This window comes from Homo sapiens, chromosome 7, assembly GCF_000001405.40.
Source record: "Homo sapiens chromosome 7, GRCh38.p14 Primary Assembly".
Classification (NCBI taxonomy): Eukaryota; Metazoa; Chordata; class Mammalia; order Primates; family Hominidae; genus Homo; species Homo sapiens.
Window position 1 is genome coordinate 99,661,497 of NC_000007.14, and position 21,607 is coordinate 99,683,103.

A 21,607-nucleotide genomic window follows, 5' to 3' on the forward strand; every position below is an offset into this window, starting at 1 on the left:
AGCAGAAGTTCTTATGATTACAGGTTGGCCTCCCTCTTGATATTTCTCCTGAGAGAAGCTCACGATGGTCCATCACTAGTCTGTTTGGTCAGGACTGGATTAGGACCTTTAGAGACCTGGAGCACAGAAATAAATATGGTGCCTGCAGCAATCATGTAACTCACAACCAAACACAATATAAAATGAGTGTGAGAAAGGTCTACAGAGTTCTGATTTATCAGTGAATATTTCTGTATGCTGCTGTGGGTAAATTCAACCATCCAATTATTTTACTCAGTTACATTGAACCCCATTATACTGAGTTGAAATTGAACTGTAATTTTAAAGTTGGGAGCTCTGCTGTCCAATCTGGTAGCCACTATCCACATGTGGCTATTTAAATTCAAATTTTATTCAATTAAAAATAAATACTCTTAAAAATTGTTCTTCAGTGGCATTGGCCACATGTCCAGTACTCAATAGCCATATGTGTCTAGTGATTTCTATATGAAACAGTGAAATGATAGACTATTTTCTTTATCACAGCAAGTTTTGTTGAGATAGATAGATGATTAATTGATAAATTATAGGCAGATAGATGATTGACAGATAGATAGACAGACAGAAGTAGATGTAGACATGGACATGTTTAAAGTGGTATACTGGAGTCTGCTGAGTCCTGCTCTCTAGAACCAATTGTTAAATATTCAAAAATTTTGTGAGATGGTTGCCAAATCTTGGTAGCTTGAAATTGACCATGGTTATCATTTTGCCACTGTCTTAGTAATAATGGTTTTGGTTAAAACCATCCATGGGTCATAAAACTAGTAGATACAAGACTGAAGATTGAAGTAGATTTACATGGTATCAGAGGTGTCCCCCATTAGTTACTTATGCATTTCAAAGGGAAAAATAAAACTTTGCAGTAGATTAACCTTGCGAACACACTTTCAAGTACTGCCAGTTAAAATCACCCTTACTGGGATAGTGTGCTTCCTGATCGGTATGTTTGATATAAATTTCCAAGTAGAGGTTCTCACTTGGTGGATCTGGAGGAGGCTGAGAACTGGCATTTGATCTCATGTAGGTGATCCACAAACCACTGACTGTCCTCCAAGCATTCTAGGTTTGCTTAGGGTTGCCCTTTCAGCCTGGAACATGGCTATACCTGTGGGCTTCTGGAAAGTGCCTCCAGCTACCATTTATAACATCTAAATGTGTGTTGTTCTGCTATGTGGCAAAAATTCTCATCTTCCTGGAATACTTCCTGCACATTTTCAGAACAAGGCCCTCCCTCTTAGTGTCCCCGCCAGTAGCCCTCAGAAGCACTCCTTGGTTACCTTTGTGGGACTCAGTTTCTTTCGAATTCTGGGAGTCAATCATCAGCTGAAGGAAATCTAGTCGGTGCTAGAAGCAAAAGGAGAGATTTCTTTGGCAGAAAGTGACTCGTGAAGTCAGAAGTAAATCAAAAGTGCAGTCCTCAACCTCCCTTCTTGACTTCCCTCCCTCAACCTCCCTATGGCTTCTTGAAGACGTGTTACCTGAGTCACCAGTGAACAAAAACATTCATCTAAATCCTTGGAAAGCAGGATGTTTTCCTGAAACAAATCTAGCTATCATGTCCAATTGCTTTTTCGCCTTTGCCCTCCCTGTTTCTCATCTTCTCTGTCTTTTGGATACAGCTTTCTGGCCAAAGAGTTGCCGGTTCCATCTCTGGTCATAACTGCTTACCCAGGAAGAAGTACTGGATCTTTTATTCTTCTACCTTTTTCTTCAGCAGTGTCCGTATAGATTAATCTCCTGACATTTCCAGAACTCATCAGCAGCTTTTTTGGGGGAGCATTTTCAAATATTCCAACATTCTCAAACTCTATATAATCTTCAGTGACAGCTGGGTTACCTGGTCCTGTCTCCCTGACCTGCAGACATCCTTCGGCTGGCCTCTAGGGCTCGTGAAGGCAAAGCTGAGTTAGCCAGCCTTGCAACCTCAATTCTCAGAGAAGACCCCTGTTCACTCCAGGCTGTGAAACACTCACATTTACCACACACTACATGTCAGCAGTCGGCAGGTAGCCTCATAGGACCTTTAATTGCAGAATATGTAAAATAAGAGTCTTGGACTTAAAATGATTCTTTACCAATCTGTGATATGAGGAAAGCACAATACCAGTAAAATATATTTTCAAACAGGAAACTTTATCCTTTGACAATTTATTAAAGGGAAGAGAAGTGGTAAAATTTTATCTCAATACTGTTTATATCATGACATACTAATTGTTGTGCCTGATTTCAAGTTTTAAATGCTATCTCTCTGACTCATTCTCATCTCCTTCCCCAATCTCCTTCTTTATTTCTACCAAATGGCTTCTCTTGTTCTAAACATAAGTTCTCTGTCTTTATTTTTAAAAATACAGATACATGCTCTATCATGTGTATAAAATCTAAATTTATCAAAACCTAAACATCGTCATTTAACCACCATCAGATTTTACCTTTTGTTTGTCGTTGAGGCGACTTTTCTTCATTCTGTTTACAGATTTACTTAAAAAATTTATGGTATCTTTTGGAAACAGAGAGACATTTAATGCTTCAAAAACTGGGGTAAGGAATGGAAAGAGTACTGTGGGAAAAACAAAACAAACAAAAGGAAATCATTGAAAATGCAAACTTTACCTGGAGCAATTATAATTTTCTCTACCAGTAATAAGAATAAGAACATCATGATTCTCAACTGGAACCCATTCCTTTTATCATGTTTGCCCTTCTTTCAGGCCGGCGACTGAGCAAGGGCAGGTCTATACATAGGAAACACCACTACAGCAGTGAGATCAATGGCACCTTCTGAGTCTTTGGAGTGACCAAAGTAATAGAATTAAATTCCCTGACCTCTTAGCCTTTATCTATTGGACTAGAGTTTTTGGATTAATGTAGACCATAATCTGCTGCTTAACTTAATCATGCTGTTCAGGAAATGATAGTCAAGATAGAATTAACACAGCATATGTACATCAACTTCCATGGAATAAAACTAGAAATCAATAAGGGAAAGAAATTTGGGAAACTCATACATTTGTGGAAGTTAAACAATACAGTTTTAAGTGACCAGTGAGTCAAAGCAGAAATCAAAAGGGCAACAAGAAATTGTTTTGAGATGAACAAAAAGAAGGCATGATGTACCAAAACACAGGATGTAGCCAAACCAGTGCTCAGAGGGAAATTTATAGCTGTAATATCTAAATTTAAAAGAAGAAAATATCTCAAATTGATTATAATTATTTACACCACAAAACACTAAAAGAAGAAGAGCAAATGAAACCTAAAGCCAGCAAAAGAAAGAAAATAACAGACTAAAATAAACTCATGAAATAGAGAATAAAAAACAACAGAGAAAAATCAATGATATTATTTCTATGAAGTGTCCAGAATAGGCAAATCTATAGAGGCAGAAAGTTGATTATTGGATGCTTAGGGCAGTGGGGTTTGTGGTGGGGTGTTGACAGCTAAAGTGTGTGAGGGCTCTAGATTGACAAAAACATTTTAGTTTACAATAGTAATGGTCATACATATTTTTGATTATCTTAAAAACAATGGAATTGTACCTTTTAAGTGGATGAATTATACGATATGTGAATTATATGTCAAGAAAGCAGTTATTTTTAAAAAGAGAGAAAGAAATAATAGCCCACATACTTATTGAGAGAAATAATGGATCTAAGAAACCAAATTTTAGGAACTTCTTAGTGCTCTCCACAAAGGGGTCTTGTGGATTGTTGAGAGAGTCGATGTTCACTCCAAATGATGTGCCAGTAATCACATCCATGCTGTAGGCCCCAAAGATGCTGAGTGGAGAAAGATATGGAAAATTAAAATCAGCACCTCTTACCGTCCTTCCACTATACATGCAGCAAGAAACCCACATATCCAGTCAAGACACATAAAGAGCCACAGACTTTCAGAACTATCTGCTGAATCATCTTCCATCTACTCCCTCAGAAGGTGGTTATCTGGTGCCAGTGATGGAGCTGGCCCTATGCTGGGGGTGATGGAGACACCAAGCTGAGTTAGACTCACCTCTGAGGTCAAGGAGCCCAGTCATAGGAAGACAGAGACCCATTATCAGACAACTACAGTAGCATGTGTTGAGTGTGGATGATATAAGATATGTAAGCTCTGTGCTTCAGCAGAACAAGAGTAGAATAATTAACTCTTCCTAGTGGATTCAAGAAAGGTGGCGTTGTCTGACTACAGACTCTATGCCCAGAGCCAATTCCTCTTCAACACTTTACAAAACAGTAACACCCTGTTCTGAGTTCCTAGAAATATCATCCTTTATTCTCTACACTCCCTGCTAATGCTCTGGAAAACCCCACTATCCCCAGCTCCTCTGACCTGAAGTTGCGCTGAGAGCAGAGTCATTTTTGTAAGATGTGACAATCAAGAATGTTCTGGTTAAAAAAAATAGATCTCTCCAACATTGATTTGGAGAACCCAAAACTGAGTGACCACATGTCCCAAGTCTGAACAGGACAGGCTCAGATTACACCTGTCGTTCCTGCATAATTGAAGCACATACCATTGTAGACAGCAAATAATAGGCTTGCTCTACACATAGCATTTCTAGCACCCTTTCTTTTTTGAGATTGGAGGAAAAGGAAGTAGTGGGAAGGTTTAATAGTTCATAGTTTGCTGATATTCTCAGAAAAACCATGAAGGGATTGAAATTGTTCCAAGTTCCCCATTGTAACTTTCCCATCTTACCCAATGCAAGGCAACAAGTACCAAATGCTTGCTTACCCACAGTTCCATATCCACTACACTCAAAACTTTGATACAATCATGTTTTTTTAATTTCTAAAGTATGTATTTAATCTCCCAGAATATTTATGGTGACAAGTTAACAGATAAGTAAATCCTGGCTCCTGTGCACAGGAGAGAAGGCCCTTTTCCCTTGCTGACTTGCCGCCTCATGGGAGCCACTCCCTCTTAGGTGGCTCTTTGGAGTTGCAGCGCTGCCCTGCTTTTGTCTGGTCACTGGAGTAACCCAACAGTGCGACTGTCGACTCCATGGCAGGCAGCTGGAAGGGCTCATGACAGCTCAGAACCCCATGGCTGTGCTCCTACTTACTCTTTCAAGGTGACAGGCTTGCCTTTCTCTGCTTCCCGCCTCAAGTTTCTCACCAATACATCTCCATACTGGGCAATGATGGGGAACATCTAAGCACAAAACAGATCAGTACCTGTAGTTAAATGTGCAGACTCAAGTCCCAGAAGGATATGGCTTTCTCCAGCATGGAGCAGTAAGTGACATTTTGTAATGAATTTTGTGATGTCTTTTCTGTACATAAAGATAAAAGACCATTTTTAGGAAGCTCGAACTCAGTGGACTACCCCTTGGAAACGGACTGTGATCTTACTTTCTACCTGTCCCCAGATTCATTCTTTACATTTCTAATTAAGACTCATCTTATTTTCATACCTCCTTGAGTTTTCCGCTGGTGAAGGTTGGAGACAGCAATGACCGTATTCTCTTCCATTCTTCATCCTCAGCTAAAGAGATGGCACTTTTCATAAATCCCACTGGGCCTAAAGACTAGAGTTCAACAGAAACATTTTTTCTCACATTAGTTGTGGTGATCTTCATGGTTGCACAAAATATATTGAAGAGGCATCCTTATTTAACAAATATTTATTGACTGTATATGATATTATGGCAAGCCATATTCAAGATGCTCAATGGAGATCCTAGATGCCTAGCCTCTTCTGAGTGTATGTGGGGCGGGGGTGGGAGTGGGGAGACCCAGCCATCTGGTGTGGTCTCCTGCCTCTATATCTCAGTCTCCTTTTAATTGCAAATGCTCCACGTGGTAGGGAACTGTTCTTCCAGTGGAATAGACAGGAACAAGACCTAGCCCTTCCCCAGGAGTGTGCAGAGTAGAAAAGGATTGGTGACAGATGGGCAGACTGTATGTTGCCTCAGACCAGCTCTGTCTTTAATACACCTACAGCATGGGCAACTTGAAAAAGGGATGCCATGATGTGGTGATTTTTTTTTGAAAAGTAGGTAATACTTAAAGACTAGAAACCTGTTTTGAAGGAATAATGCAATTTCCTTGAAAATTCTTTTCTCTTAATTTTTTATTCCATAAATAGAAGGAAAAAGAAAGGGATAATTACTTTTCCCAACTTGGGGCTGGACTATCAAGCCAGCATGCTTGGAACTTTCTCTTATCTTCCACAACTATGTTTTGTTTTAAAATGTGTACTTCCAGCTGTCATGATAAAATCTCAATAAACTAGGAAGAGAGAGACAGTTCCTTCATTTGATAAAGACAATCTGTAAAAAAATCATTCAGTTAAATCACATTTAATGATGAAGGACTGAATGGTTTTTCCAAGATCAAGAAGAACTAAAAAATGCCCACTCTCAACATTCTTACTAAAGAGCATACCTGATGTCTTAATACACTAGACAAGAAAAAGAAATAAAAGGCATACAGATTGGAAAGGAAATAATAGAATTGTCTCTATTTTCAGGTGACATAATTGTCAATGTATAAAATGTCAAGGAATATACAAAAAAATTTCTAGAACGAATAGGTAAGTTCTGCAAGGCTATAGGATACAAGATCAACAAACAAAATTATTCACATTTCTATGTAACAATAATCAATATCTGAAAATACAAGAAAAACAGTATCATTTACAGTTACTCCAACAAAAATGAAATATTTCTGGTGTAAATCTAACAAAAGATGTACAGGACCTCTATGCTGAAAACTATAAAATGTTGAGGAAAGTAATAAAAGCTAAAGAAATGGAGAGGCATACTATATTCACGGGATGAAAGGCTGAACATAGTAAAGATATAGATTATACCCAAATTGTTCTATTGGTTTAATTCAAGCTTGTCCAACTTGTGGCCTGCAGGCCTCATGCAGTCCAGGATGGCTTTGAATGTATCCCAATACAAATGTGGAAACTTTCTTAAAACATTTTGAGTTTTTTTGCAATTTTTTTTGTAATTTTGTAATTTGACTATGTGATTCTCAAGTGTGAACTTCGTAGACAACAATGGAATGGAAAGGGGTAATCAGAGTATGTCACATCCACAAATAATGGACTAGTATCCATAATTTGCATTATAATTGCAAACAGTTCAGCAAGAAGAAATTAAAAGCCATTAAAATTAACTAACAAAGAGCGAGAGGACGCTATTGCAGTGCCACGTGAAGTGAATTGTGACAAAGAATTCAAGTGTGTATTCTGGACAAGGCAGAGCGCTGCTGTACACCAGACACTGTCGCCATTTGTACGCATGTGTGGCTTCAGTTTTATGGTGGTGTGCGACTTCCAGTGTGTTATCTTCTAATCACGGACAGTTGAATTGACACTGTCAGGTATTAGGTGTGTTTGTGGCAATTTGGCAAGTAAAACCCAGCAATTATCAATAATATTTCAACCTACCTTTGTAGATGATAGGTGTTTAATATTATTTAGAAGACATGTAAGTATTCTTATTTGATTATTAAACCTTGCTTTCTGTTCTATTTTCCTATCTGTTAATTTCCATAATAAAAGTAAATATAGTTGCTTATCTATTATAATGCTTTTAATTCCAGAATGGCTTCCACAATGTCTTAAAAAGAAAACCCTAAAAAACAAAAATTATGGATGAAGGAAGATTGTTCAATGAAAAGTGGACAAATGACTTTTTCTTGTTGAGGCAAATAGCGAAGCACTCTGCTTAATTTCCACGGAATTTGTGCCAGTTTTCAAAGACTACAATTTGAAGAGGCATTATATGCAAAAACGTGCTGACAAATTTGGTGTGTATGTGTTGTAAGGACAAAATAGCAGAACTGAAAAAAAGTCTGTCTTTTCAACAAAAAAGATTTTTTAAAAAGTTACAACTCGGACTCAATCGTAAGGTAAAACCTAGTTATGTGGTAGCAAATTTAATAGCAAAAAAATCAAAACCATTTACTGATGGTGAGTTTATTAAGCAATGTCTGGAAGATGTGGTAGATATTATTTGCCTTGAGAAACTGATATTTCTAAAATCAGTTTGTCTCACCAGACTATAGCCAGGAGAATTGGAGAAATTGGGAAATCTATTGAAAGACGTTTGGAGAGTAAAACTGCTAATTTAAAATTTTATGCTTTGGTGATGGATGAAGGCACTGACACTACAGATACGGCACAACTTGCTATTTTTATTAGAGGTATTGATGATGAATATAATGTCACTGAAGAAATCGAAATGTCACCATGCTATTAAAAGACACAACTAAATCAAGAGATTTATATGAAGCAGTGAAAAATATGTTAAAGCAATTTTCTTTGTCCTTTGTAAACATATGTGATATAGCTACAGATGCTGCCCTGGCGATGGTAGGTAAAAGAGAGGGACTTGTACAATTAATAGATGATGCAGTTGCCACACAAAACTCACATTTGATGAAGTATTATTGCATAATACATCAAGAAAATCCATGTGCACAAGCTTTAAAAGTAGATAACGTCATGCAAATTGTCATCAAGGCTGTAAATTTCACAAGGGCCCAGGAATTGAATCATCGCTAGTTTCAGGAATTCCTTAAAAGTATGGATGCTGACTCTAGCAAGTCATTCACTTTTTAGAAGTAAGATGGTTAAGTCAAGGCAAAATGTAAAGATTTTATGCTTTGTGATGTGAAATCAAGCTGTTTATGGTATCAAACAAAATTGGTGCCAGAACTTGACAATGAAAACTGGCTTACAGATTTAGCATTTTTAGTGGGTTTGACGGCCCATTTAAGTGAGTTAAACCTGTGTCTTCAAGTTGAAAACCAACTTAACAATACAATGTTTCAAACCATAACAGCATTCCATATGAAACTGAAATTATGGCAAGCTCAAATTAAGGCAAACAATTTTATGCATTTCGACATGTTGGCTAAACATGGTCCTGTGAACAGCCAAAAATACGCAGCCTTGCTTTTCAATTTGATACAGGAATTTGAAAACAGGTATTTCAAGATTTCTGAAAAAATCATCAATATTTTGGTATATTTGCAACTCCATTTTCAGTCGACATATATATGTTACCTGGCAATTTTGAAATGGAATGCCTAGAGCTGCAATCTGATGTTCAACTTATAGAAAAATTTGATTTTGCCTCTTTACTGGACTTTTGTAAGACCTGTCTTCCCAATGACAAATATCCCTTGCTTCACAATCACACCTTGTTCATGTCATTGCTTTTTGGCAGCACTTACATTTGTGAGCTACTATTTTCAAGGATGAAGAACACGAAGAGTAAAATTAGAACCAAAATATCTGATGAGCACCTTGAGAACTCACTGAGAATTGCAACTACTTCCATCAAGCCAGATACTGATGGATTAGTTTCTCAAAAACAATGTCAAGTACCCCACTAGTTTTATGTTGTTCTCTTTTCTTTTATAATAAAAAATATCAAAAAAGTAGTGAAGTTTAGCTAGATATGTACATTTTCTGTATCAGTGATTGCAAACTTGGAACCTGTTCAATGATTTTGAAAGACCCTCTGAATGGGGCAGTGCATAATTAGGATTATTATGCAAGGACATTTTTGCTTATCTGTGGTGGTAGATATATAATGAAAACTATACACAGACCATTTGTGTGTGTGTGTGTGTGTGTGTGTGTGTGTGTGTGTGTGTGTGTGTATTTTATGTGTGGCCCACGACACTTCTTCTTCCACTGTGGCCCAGGGAAGCCAAAAGATTGGACACCTCTGCTTTAATTCTTATCAAAATTATGGCAGGTTTGTTTGTAGACACTTACAAGCTTATTCTGAATTTTTATGGAAAGGCAAGGGACAAGAAAAGCTAAAGCCATTCTGAAAATATAAATCAATAAAGTGGAAAGAATTGCCCTATATGATGTTAAGAGTTACTGTACAGCTACTAGAGTCACCACAGTGTGGTATTAGTGGAGGAGTAAACAATAAGAAATAGATTCACAAAATATACTCAGCTGAGTTTTGACAATATGCCTACCTTTCCAAAATGGTGTTGGAACATTTGGACAGCCATAGTCCACAGAAAATGAACCTTGATCTAAATCTCATAACTTATGCAAATATTAACACAAAATGGGTAATAGAGTTACATTTTGTAAAGTGTTAAACTATATAACTCTTAGAAAAAGCAATGTAGGAAGGAGGGCTAAGCAAAGGATTTTCAGACTTAACACCAAAAGAACAATCCATAAAAGGAAATATTAATACATTGGCCTCCTCAAATAAATAAAAGTTTGCTCTGATATAGAACCTGTCAGAGAAAAAGACAAACTCCATGTTGTGACTGTAGGACAGCAGGAGGGAGCCACATGGTGACGGAATGGGTCTGCATCTTGATGGTGCTGGTCGTTGCACAAATCTACGAATGTGAAAAATTGCTTAGAACTACCCACACACATAAACACACACAAACAAGGGCATGTAAAACTGGTGAAATCTGAAAAGCTCTGTAAACTATATCAAAGTCAATTTCCTGTACTATAGTATTAGGTTGGTGCAAAAGTTATTGCAGTTTGCCGGTTTTTGTTGTTGTTGTTGTTGTTGTTGTTTGAGATGGAGTCTCATTGGGTTGCCCAGACTGGAGTATAATGGCGTGATCTCGGCTCACTGCAACCTCCGCCTCCCAGGTTCAAGCGATTCTCCTGTCTCAGACTACTGAGTAGCTGGGACTACAGGCGCATGCCACCACACGCAGCTAATTTTTGTATTTTTAGTAGAGATGGGGTTTCACCATGTTGGTCAGGCTGATCTCGAACTCCTGACCTCGTGATCCACCTGCCTCGGCCTCCCAAAGTGCTGGGATTACAGGCATGAGCCATTATGCCCAGCCTGTAGTTTGCCATTTTAACTTTTGTGCCAACCTGATAATATGAATATACTAGATATATATTGCAATATACAAGATTGCAAGATGTTACCACTGGGCGGGACAGGATGAAGAGTACATGGAACCTTCCTGTACATTTTTTAGGTAACCTTCTGTGAATATATGTTTTTTTCAAAATAAAAATTTAATCAGTGGATCAATCATTATTTAAATTTCAAAAAATGGATGCTTACCCTTCGATTTGTGAAGACAGAATAACATTCTTTCACTAGCACTGTTCTGATCACGTCGGGATCTGTGATGGCCAGCACAGGGAGTTGACCTTCATACGTTCTGTGTGGGGACAACGGAGCTGATTAAACTTCACTAGCCCGATTCTGCAGCTGGAGCCACACCCAGGAAGCCAGACTTTGATCATTATGTTATGTAATCCATACCCCTAGTTGTACGACACACAGCAACCTTAGGTTCTAGTTCATTAGGGTGTGACACACAGCAAGAGTCTCACACAGGAGCCACCCAAGGCTTCATATGATGAAGGGTAATGTGGTCCAAACAGGGAAGAGATATTGAAAGACAAAAGAGCTCTTTAAAGAGATTATGGTTAGAAATGACAGTAGAGCATTCGTTAAGCTGGGTGGTACATACGTGGGTATCTCCTATGCCACTCTCCATAATGTTTTATATGTTTAAAATACTTCATTATCAAAAAGAATATTAGGTCAGTGAAAAATTGAAGGCAGGTAAATCATCAAGTGCTCACAAGGACTAAATGCTGCAAGGGCAGTTGGTGTGGGGCCCATGGACATCTAGAGCTGTGTCATCTGTCTACTAAGTCATGTTGCCTGTATGGGCCATGCCAGCTCCACAGCACTCCACAGTCAGCGCTGTGGATTCTGAGGACTTGAGGGGAGAAGATGAAGAAGTACAAAGAGGCAAAGCTTTCTCCCACTTGCTTCTAGTGAACAAACACACCACTGCACCTCATCCACTGCTCTCACCAAACCTCTAGCCCCTCTGACAGGGAACAGCTGCTGCAATTGGCTGAGACCACCTTATAAAATCACAGTCCATCAGCCCACCAGGGAACACAATGGTTTAATAATATTCAGCATCTCTTCTTCAAAGTAAGTGCAATGGTATAAACCAATAAATATTTGTATATCCTTCTATTAAGAAGTTTTGGCTTAAATTTAAACAACAAAGCAGAACAAAAAATTCCATACTTGCAGAGAAAGTTTAAAAAAGTGGAGCATAAGTGGTTTCCCAATCTGTTTCTCTATTATCTCTCAACCCTTCTTTCAAAAGCACATGTTAAATTCAGTCTAAATGAAGGAGTTTTGGCTTTTAATTGAAAGTGAATCAATGTGGGAAGGAGATGATGCCATGCATTTATGAGCACATATTAGAAGGGTCTGAGACAATGCATGTGATAAAAGGGCACCTAAGGAAGAAAAAAAGAAGAGGGGAATAGGCAGACACTGGACAGAAGGCGATGCTGGGAGTCCCTGGGCCACCAAAACCTGCAGAAAAGTGGTAACCACAATGCTCCTAGCCTAGTTCAGACTGAAGACCTCGATACCTGGTGACACATGGGATCCTTGGTAGGACAAGCCTCGAAAAGTTTTACAATAGCGAGTGTGAACTTTATCAGAACCAAAGTGATGTCACTAATTGTTTTTTAACCCTGACAAATAAATCCCAAGAAGGCTATGAAGAGAGGATTCTTATGCTTGTGTTCCTGGAAACAAAACTATTACAAAAGTGTCTACAAAAACCACAACTTTGCACAAAGGCTATTTCAACTTTACACAAAAATATTTCTGCAAGGACACCTGTCCAGCAACTGCCTGTCCAACCTTGGTGTGGCATCACCCTTGTTATTGATCTTTGTAGCTAACAATAATTATCTCAAAACAGTTATGAGATTCTTCTCATATTTTCTATGGAGCATCTTTGTCTTGTTTACCTCCCTGAATTTGCACATAGTTTATAACGGCAAGCAGATTCCCATTGCAATATTCTACTCCCAAGTAATTATCCTCTTCTTTCAGAGAACCTCTCTCTGTTTGTATTTAGGTTGACAAGAGCTTCATCCCATGAAGACCTGGGCAGAGACTATCCTGCAGTGGGGTAACCTCCTCACAGTAGCAGGTCTATCCAATGGAGGTTTTCAGAATACTCACCCCCACATTTTTCCATACTTTTTATAGCACTCTGTGTCAAATTTCCAGAGACCCTGGGAGAGGAAACAAAATACAAGTTGATTATTATTTTAAATAGAATAAACCCTACCTCTAATTGGGGCTGAAAACAGTTGCGTCCAATGAAATCAGGCCTGCTATCTTTCACTGGCAGTTGAAGGAAGCTATTCAGAGATGTCTTAAGGGAAAGACAAGAAAACAGAGAATATATTTGAAGTGGGGAATTTAAAGTCACTCTTGAATTTTCTCTAAGTACTGAAGGACTCACCCTTGTCTATGACCAGTAAGTAATTCCTTGTCTTTCTGATGTATTTTTGCTTTTTCTTTTATTCTCTCTAAAGTCTCCTAACCCCGTGAATGATCACCTGCAAGGGCAGGGGTGAAACTGAGGTGAGGAAAAGTGAGTGTCTGCAGGGAATGCACAATTTTTTAATCTCCTCCATCAGTATCCTTTTCATTTATCTCATGTGCTCTCTCTAGAACTCTAGCAGAATTAGAAAGTTAAAGAAACCAGGAACCTCTTTTAGTCTTGCAGATTTAGATAAGTCTAAGGCATGTTGTTGAGTGAGAAAGTGAGTGAGTGAATGAGAAAGTAGACTTCCTTTCCAGTTTTCTAGCTTAACACAGAAAAGATGGAGAAATGCCACCTCTACACATCACACCCAGCAAATTACAATGCGTGCTCTGAGCTTTCACTTCTGAAACATAAAAACAAACCTTCCTGTTGCTAAGATTCAGCTGTGATGTTTTAACCATGCAAAAGAAGGTCCCAGAAATGTTGATCTACTACAAGAGTTGATCTGGGAAAGATGAAGAAGAAATTACTGCTTTTATCGAGGGTAAAATTGTGTAGAATTCTCAGATAGTAATCAGACAACAGAGGCTTCAGTTGTGAGAGTTAGAATCTGAGAAACAAGCTCCAGGTACACAGGATAGGAAATCTGGGCTGGAGAGCAGCTTGCTGCTACTGGCCTTCTGGACATGAGCTTGTGACTTTCCCTCCAGGGGTAAACCTGGCCATGCTTTGGGTGGAGCCTACACACCTTTTCCTCTCCTCTCCTCTCTCCTCTCCTTTTCTCTCCTCTCCTCTCCTCCCCCCTCCCCTCCCCTCCCCTCCCCTCTCCTTCCTCTCTCTTTCTTTCTCTCTCTCTCTTTCTTTCTTCCTTTCTGTCTTGTTCTGTTGACCAAGCTGGAGTGCAGTGGTGCGATCACAGCTCAATACAGCCTTGACTTCCTGGGTTCATACAATCCTCCCACCTTAACATTCAGAGTAGCTGGGACTACAGGCATGGGCTACCATATCATGCACAGGTAATTTTTTCTTTCTAGAGACAGGTGTCTCACTGTGTTGCCCAGGCTGTTCTCAAACTCCTGGGCTCAAGCAATTTGCCAGTCTTGGCCTCACAGAGGCTGAGATTACAGGCATGATCCACTGCACCCAGTCCCACCATTTCTGAAAATGTGAAACCTCAGAACTCCCTCCCAAGGAGGGGCATTTTTACTGATGGAACTAAGCTGATGTTTGCAACCATAAGAAGCAAAAGAGGAAGCTCAAGCAACTCACCTGACGATAGGACAAAACATTTCCCAACAAAGGCAGAGGTGTGGGCCCTGGAATTCCCAGTCTCTTAAAAAGTCCATGTGTACGGGTCCCATATCTACAAAGTGAAACAGAAATCAGGTCACAGGGATTGTGACTTTATAGATCAGAGGGCTGGTGAGTTACTCAGGAACTGGAATGGTCAAGAGAGGGAGGTAATATGTACACGATAAATAATAACAGCAACTCCAACATCAGTAATTGCATTCACTCATCAGGTCCTTTCCTGACTATTCTGAGACCCCTGAAAAGTCTCAATGATTAGCTGAAAGCAGCTGAAGTCTTCATAGTCCCAATCCTGGAGTGAATACTTGATAAATGTCCTCAAATGCTCCTGAGAGGTTCAGGCAGGAATTCTTCCAGGACACTTCATTTCCTTATGTCTGTTTAGTAAGTGGACTCTTCGCTGATTTGGGGACTCTCATCCTAGGTAGAAAGAGTAAGATTTTTTTTGTCTTTTGCACTGATGATGAGATTTTGCATCACTGTATGCACTCAATCACAGAGGGTCACTGGGAGCCTATGGTGACACTGCCCTTACAATTTGCTCAGAAATGTTTATGCTTTTTCTTCCCTCTAAGCTCTGACCCTGTTTTAGGATCTAGCCCTTCTTAAACGTTCATTCACAGAGAGGCCTTGGAGGAGTCATGGAGTCCTTATTTCTACAGATTGACAACTGTGTTCATGGCTTCTATTGGCCTTATAGAAATGTGGGCAGCTTTCAGGTACACCTCAGTCTCTGTGGTCAGATGATCTGGTTGATTTGAGCTGTTGAGGAGGATGGTTGATCCATATGTCCTTGAATGATTGTGTGCAGAAGAACCAGCAACTAATACTTCTCAGGTCATACTCACCTGAGAAGCACAGTGCCAGGCACACTCATCTTTTTCAAGGTGGTCAACCAGAAAGCAGTCAGTTCACTGCCTCTGTACGTGAAGTATCTCTGAGGAAAAACCCATTAAGCCTGGTGTTCACTATGGCAGGCCTGCCTGGAACTCATCTTTCATGAGTCATGTGCAAACTCCTCCAACTGATGGTTCTGGATCCTTGCAGACCTTCCCCCTCCGGTGTGACTGAGGGATGGAAAACTGGAGGAAGAAGAGAGGCTGAAGGAAGAGGTTGCCAGACACTGATTCAGCTGTGAAGCTGCTAGCCCCACACAGTTGGCTCCAGAGAGGCAAACTACAAAAATGTGGCTGAAAAAGATGATGTGCATAAAAGAATCCACATGCCTCATATGTACTTTCAGCTAAAAGACACAGAGGGACCTTCCAAAGTCCAGGTACTTTCCTGTTGATAGCAAATGGTGCAGTATGGCATATAAGATAAGTAATGATAAAACGTCCCGGAGAGTTGTATTAAGACCTTGTTTACTCCTCTTTAGAGGTTAGCCTTCAAGGCAGTATAGGTTCCAAACATTTTGTAAACATCCAGTGACTTATAAAATGTGATAAAATAAAACTGAGAAATTACATGAAGGGCAGGGTTTGGAGGACTCAGCAGGGGCAGCATGAGCAGGCCCAGTCATACATTTGGTTCCCTGCCCCAGAACAGTTAGTGGAAGTGCGTGCACCACCTGCCAAAGCCAGGGTGGCCTTGGGTATTCCCACTTCAGTTCCCTCCTTTGTTGTCACAGCCATGTCAAATCAATGACACTAATCTCTGCTCCTGAACTTTAAACACATTACCTGACCTCTCAGGTGAGGACAAGCTATTGAGTTAATGTGTCAGCAGCATTGGCCCCCAAGGAAAGATCTTGGTGAGTGTCTAGATTCACATGGTACCATGTCAAGGCAGATGCTGTGCTGGGCGAACTCTTTAGTTTCTTTCCAGCTCCCCTCTGGTAGAGTAATGCAGCCTTTGGGTCCAGTGAAGAGACTAACAGAAAAGCCAGTCATCTATTGCATGTAATTGTGTTGGCCTAAGGAGGGCCTGGTCTACACTGCATTTTCTGACTCCTGGGCTGCACCAGCATTGTCTAAGGCTAAGGCATTGTCTGCCTGGCTGCCCGAGTCTGTAGTGACCGGCCCACAACATGGCAGACCACACACAGAGTGACACAGATGGTGCCCCTGTGTCCAGGCTTGAAGCAGATGAGATGCCAACCTGTTTGCCCTTTGAGTGACCTCCACGGTGGGGCCAGGACCCATGAATATCTCTTTGGAGTTCTACCCTGAGAGCTGAGGAATATTTTCTCACTTCATATGGATCCTACCTGGAAGCCTTTGCTATCGTCACTGGCTCACAGTCTTGCTTACTCCCCTGTCCTGAGAGTTTAAGACAATCTGCTAAGCAGGTATATTCGAAAAGGAGTTATTAAAATAAATGGCCGGACAGGTATATTTGAAAAGACGTGCAGTCTTGTCTTAGAGGTATACATTTGTGCATTAGACTCATATTCCTGACATTCAGGAAAGGTGACATTATTTTACACACACTTATTGTCACAAATACTGAACTAACAGCCCTGTTTTACCATCCAGAAGGAACATGCTGGAAATAGTCTATCTCCAAAAAATTCTGGTTTAAAAATGAATGAATTTAAACCATATCAATTCATTTAAAAATGTTAGACAATGGAAACCATGTTGCCACAACTCACTGAATTCCTAAGCTTTCTGTGAAAGAATTAAAATGAGGTTTATAGTGTCTATTTTCATGTCATTGTGGTTCCCTGCTCTTAATAAAAGTCAAATTGAGGTAGAAGTTAATGGGACAGGTGGAGCCTCCACTACCCACAGTGGAAAGTAACTCTTCTCTCCACCTGCTCTAGGATGCCAGGAATCCCACCAGTGAGAGGGTTTGCCCTCCTGTACTGTAACATAAAGGGGAAAAATATGTAAAATCCAAATTGGCTTTCATGGCTCCTGCCTTTTCAGGCTGCTAGTAGATTCCCATTAGGTGAGAAACAAAGCTCTATATTAATCCTAGCCTCCCAGAGACGGGAGGAAAAAGATTAAAGCAAAGAATAAATCCTCGAAACTTCCTCCAGGTCTCCTTTGCTCTAGAGGTTAATCATTGCAAGATAAACCATCCTGTGTATGACAGGGTGGAGGAGTGACTCATAGGAGGGAGGGGATTTTCAGGGGCATGGCACAGGAAAGAGGGAAGAGCCAGGGGACAGCTTCCCATGAAGTCTTGGTGTCCCCTGGTGCGTTATGTAAATGATATCCTGGGTTGGAAGGCGGGGGAGCAGGAACCAGGTCTACAGGGGCAATACAGCTACACATCCCTTCCAGCAGACACAGAACCCAGAAAGCGAATTAATGAGACAAAAATGCAAGCCACTCCTTCCTGTACCCAGAATCCCCAGAGCCTGGGAAGGGGATGAGGATCACACTGTCCATCATGATCAGCAGTTTGTAATCTGCCGCTGCCATGTTTTCATTGATTAGTCTTCGTCAGATCTAAGCTAATCAAATCATTCCCACTACCAAATGCTGTCCCTAAACCCTCCTAGTCACCAAAATTAGAAGGTGGATGGGAGAAATGCTTATTTATTCATTCATAGATCTGCATAAGATAATAATAACTTCTATGCGTTTGTAGCGTCCAACACTTCAGCTACTTCTCCTTGAACATCTCTTTTGATCTTCAAAACAGATAAGGGAAAAGGGGCCCGATTAGCACCCCAAGTCCAAGGAAACAAAGAGAGGAGTTTGGACAGTTACTCACAGATAGAGGAGCACCAGGCTGACAGCCAGGAGAAGCCAGGTTTCCACCGCCAAATTTGGGATGAGGTCCATCGCCACTTTCCTTCTTCAACTGTGTTCTGTGAGTCTTCCTTTTAGCTGAGTGCTGCTGTTTGCTGGGCTGTTTGCCTGGAGCTTCCCTGCCCTGCACAGCAGTCTTCAGCCAAGCTGCTGAAAGATTTATGTGCTGGAGAAGGAGGCAGGGCTATAGCTGCAGCCAATAGCAAAGAATCGCACACACCCCTTTGCTGACCTCTTTTGAGTTCATGTTCTATGAGGAATCATGAAAAGCTTAATCAGTGTTATCGGGGAGTCCAAGGGTTCTGGGTTCTTATCAGAAACTCAAGTGGAGCCATTGGCATGAAATCTATTAACCCTCCTCTCACCTGCCCCTCCATGGCTGCCTTCATTCTAGAATAATTGAAATCCATCCTCACAAGCCACACCTACACATCTTTACCCACGAAATTCCCTCTGCCTGGAGTGTACCTGTGCCCTCTAGATGACTCCTACGTATCCTTCCAAGCCCAGCCAGACAGACCCCTTCTGCTAAAATTTTTCCTTACCAACCTCCTCACACAAATGTAACCATTTCCTCCTCTGGGTGCCTCCTATCCCCCTCACACAGTCCTATTGTCCTCTTTTCTCTCTACCACCATTGTAAGTTTCTATGCCTGTTTCCCTTAGCAGAGGTGAGCTCCTCAAGGGCACAGTCTGGTATTATTTACTTTCATGACCCTGGTTCCTAGCAGGGTACTGTACACATGGTGGGTAACCAGGAATGTTGGTGGAGTTGTCTTGGGTGAGATTGCTGGGCGTCTCATCCCCTCTGACTCTGTGGTGATAGCAATAGACTAATGGTTGCTTGGGACTCAAATGCAGCCACACTGTGTCCCAACTAATAAAGTTGGTCTTGTTCTGCAAAGGAAAATAATAGAAATCATGTTCTGCCACTTAATTCCTCATAAGGTAACATAACATGAAGAGACTTACCTGTTGAGAGTTGTACTGAATCTGTCAAGGAAGATACTGTGTATCAGAAGAACACCCAACCAGTTTGTGCCTCTCATCTATTCATTCCTGTATTAAAGCATTCATGATGTATTTTAAAAGCTGTGCTCCCAGTACTTGGGTACAACACTGACTAAGGCCCAGACATTAGCTCAGTTGTTTTGATTTGTAGATCCCACAAGTATGTGAGAACTTGCAATATCTGTGTTTCTGTGCCTGGCTTATTTCACTTAACATGATGACCTCCAGTTCCATCCATATTATTACAGATAACAGGATCTCATGCTTTTTTCATGGCTGAATTGTGCTCCATTGTGTATAATTGGAGTACTTTCTTTATCCATTCATCTGTTGATGGACACTTAGGTTGCTTCCAAATCTTGGCATTTGTGAATAGTGGCTATTGTGAATATTGGAGTGATGTTATCTCTTCAATATATGATTTCCTTTCTTCCAGGTATATACCCAGCATGGGGATTTCTGGATATTGTGGTAGCTCTATTTAATGTTAATTTTAATGTTTTGAGGAACCTCCAAATTGTTCTCTATAGTGGTTGCACTAATTTACACCAACAGTGTACAAGGGTTCCCTTTTCTCCACATTCTCGCTGGCATTTGTTGTTGCCTGTCTTTTGGATAAAAACCATTTTAGCTGGGGTAAGATGATATCTCATTGTGGTTTTGATTTGCATTTCTCTAATGACCAGTGATGTTGAGCACCTTATCATATGCCTATGTGGCATTTGTATGTCTTCTTTTGAAAAATGTCTATTCAAATTTTGCCCATTTTTTGATTGGATTATTAGATTTTTCCTTACAGAGTTGTTTGAGCGCTTCATGTATTCTGGCTATTAATCTGTTGTCAGAGTGTGACTTTGAAAATATTTTCTCCCATTCTGTGGTTTGTGTCTTCACTTTGTTGATTGCTTTCTTTGTGGTACAGAAGCTTTTTAACTTGATCTGATCCATTTGTCCATTTTTGCTTTGGTTGCCTGTGCTTGTGGGGTAGTTCTTCAGAAAGTTTTGCCCAGACCAATATCCTGAAGAGTTTCCACAATGTTTTCTTGTAGCAGTTTCATCGTTTGAGGTCTCAGATTTCAGTTTTGTTTTTTGTTTTTTTGTTTTTTGTTTTTCTGACAGAGTCTCACTCTCTTGCCCAGGCTGGGGTGCATTGTCATGATCTCAGCTCACTGCCACCTCCGCCTCCTGGGTCCAAGTGATTCTGCCACCTCAGCCTTCTGTGTAGCTGGGACTACAGGCACGCACCAGCATGTCCAGCTAACTCTTGTATTTTTTGGTAGACATGTGGTTTCACCATGTTGGCCAGGCTGGTCTTGAACTCCTGACCTCAAGTGATACACCCGCCTCGGCCTCTCAAAATGCTGGGATTACAGGCATGAGCCACGGCACTCAGCCAGGTTTCAGTCTTTCGTCCACCTTGATTTGATTTTTGTGTCTGGTGAGATACAGGGTTCTAGTTTCATTATTCTGCATGTTAAAATCCAGCTTTCCCAGCACCAGAAGAGACTGTCTTTTCCCCCAGTGTATGTTCTTGACAACATTGTTGAAAATGAGTTCACCGTAGGTGTGTGGAATTGTTTCTGGGTTCTCTATTCTATTTCATTGGTCTGTGTCTGTTTTTATACAAGTACCATACTGTTTTGGTTATTATACCTCTGTAGTATAATTTGAAGTCAGGTAATATGATTCCTCCAGTTTTGTTCTTTTTGCTGAAGGTAGCTTTCGCTATTCTGGGTCTTTTGTGGTTCCATACAAATTTTAGGGTTTTTTTTTTTCTATTTCTTTGAAGAATGCCATTGGTATTTTGAGAGACTGCATTGAATCTGTGCATTGCTTTGGGTAGTATGGACATTTTTAACAATATTAATGCTTACAATATATAAACATGGAATATCCTTCTTTTTTGTGTCTTCTTCAATTTCCTTCATCAGTGTTTTACAATATTAATTGTAGACATCTTTCTCTTAAGTTAATTCCCAGGTATTTAGTTTTATTTGGGGTTATTGTAAATGGGATTACATTTTTTATTTTTGCCAGATTGTTCACTGTTGGCATGCAGAAATGCTACTGGTTTTTGTATGTTGATTTTGTATCCAGCAACATTACTGAATTTGTTTATCAGATCTAATAGTTCTTTAGTGGAGTCTTTAAGTGTTTCCATATATCATTTGGAAATCATTTGGAAATATCATTTGGAAATCATTTTCAAATATCATTTCCAAACATTAC

General features: G+C 40.1%; 2 protein-coding genes across 16 annotated transcripts in view, besides 8 other annotated features; one reads left to right on the forward strand and one right to left on the reverse strand.

Annotated features, from left to right (window-relative positions):
• CYP3A5 (cytochrome P450 family 3 subfamily A member 5) overlaps positions 1-18,500 on the reverse strand; it is a 31,803-nt gene extending 13,303 nt beyond the window's left edge. Inside the window, exons 1-10 of one of the 5 annotated variants that reach the window (NM_001291830.2) lie at positions 18,330-18,500; positions 14,821-15,080; positions 14,619-14,712; positions 13,037-13,089; positions 11,084-11,183; positions 5,456-5,569; positions 5,105-5,193; positions 3,670-3,818; positions 2,472-2,599; positions 1,320-1,386 (exon numbers count right to left, since the gene is read on the reverse strand). In NM_001291830.2, coding sequence (NP_001278759.1) covers positions 1,320-1,386; positions 2,472-2,599; positions 3,670-3,818; positions 5,105-5,193; positions 5,456-5,569; positions 11,084-11,183; positions 13,037-13,089; positions 14,619-14,712; positions 14,821-14,861 — 835 coding nt within the window. In that variant the 5' untranslated portion in view covers positions 14,862-15,080; positions 18,330-18,500. Of the gene's footprint in view, positions 1-1,319; positions 2,600-3,669; positions 3,819-5,104; positions 5,194-5,455; positions 5,570-6,327; positions 10,383-11,083; positions 11,203-11,287; positions 11,420-13,036; positions 13,090-14,618; positions 15,081-18,329 lie in introns of those variants that run through there. The other 4 variants (NM_001291829.2, NR_033807.3, NM_000777.5 and 1 more) reach the window with 4 other exon arrangements.
• ZSCAN25 (zinc finger and SCAN domain containing 25) overlaps positions 1-21,607 on the forward strand; it is a 121,090-nt gene that overhangs the window by 44,551 nt on the left and 54,932 nt on the right. For 7 of the 11 annotated variants that reach the window (XM_047420018.1, XM_047420016.1, XM_011515909.3 and 4 more), the window contains one exon: positions 7,599-11,046. The exons of the other annotated variants lie outside the window; for them this stretch is intronic. In XM_047420018.1, the coding sequence (XP_047275974.1) occupies positions 7,599-7,654 (56 nt within the window). In that variant the 3' untranslated portion in view covers positions 7,655-11,046. Of the gene's footprint in view, positions 1-7,598; positions 11,047-21,607 lie in introns of those variants that run through there. 11 annotated transcript variants of the gene reach the window in all.
• Positions 18,420-18,585: a promoter, noted in NCBI's record as "-90 core promoter". NCBI's record gives the evidence for it as "EXISTENCE:reporter gene assay evidence [ECO:0000049][PMID:11485307]".
• Positions 18,420-19,253: a biological region, named in NCBI's record as "CYP3A5 promoter". NCBI's record gives its function as "regulatory_interactions: CYP3A5".
• Positions 18,453-19,191: a promoter, noted in NCBI's record as "-688/+49 promoter fragment". NCBI's record gives the evidence for it as "EXISTENCE:reporter gene assay evidence [ECO:0000049][PMID:15252010]".
• Positions 18,538-18,557: a protein binding site, noted in NCBI's record as "BTE". NCBI's record gives its function as "positive regulation of promoter activity" and the evidence as "EXISTENCE:protein binding evidence [ECO:0000024][PMID:11485307]".
• Positions 18,555-18,581: a protein binding site, noted in NCBI's record as "CCAAT site". NCBI's record gives its function as "positive regulation of promoter activity" and the evidence as "EXISTENCE:protein binding evidence [ECO:0000024][PMID:11485307]".
• Positions 18,591-18,618: a protein binding site, noted in NCBI's record as "ER6". NCBI's record gives its function as "positive regulation of promoter activity" and the evidence as "EXISTENCE:protein binding evidence [ECO:0000024][PMID:15252010]".
• Positions 18,591-18,618: a protein binding site, noted in NCBI's record as "ER6". NCBI's record gives its function as "positive regulation of promoter activity" and the evidence as "EXISTENCE:protein binding evidence [ECO:0000024][PMID:15252010]".
• Positions 19,214-19,253: a protein binding site, noted in NCBI's record as "-749 ARE". NCBI's record gives the evidence for it as "EXISTENCE:protein binding evidence [ECO:0000024][PMID:17116727]".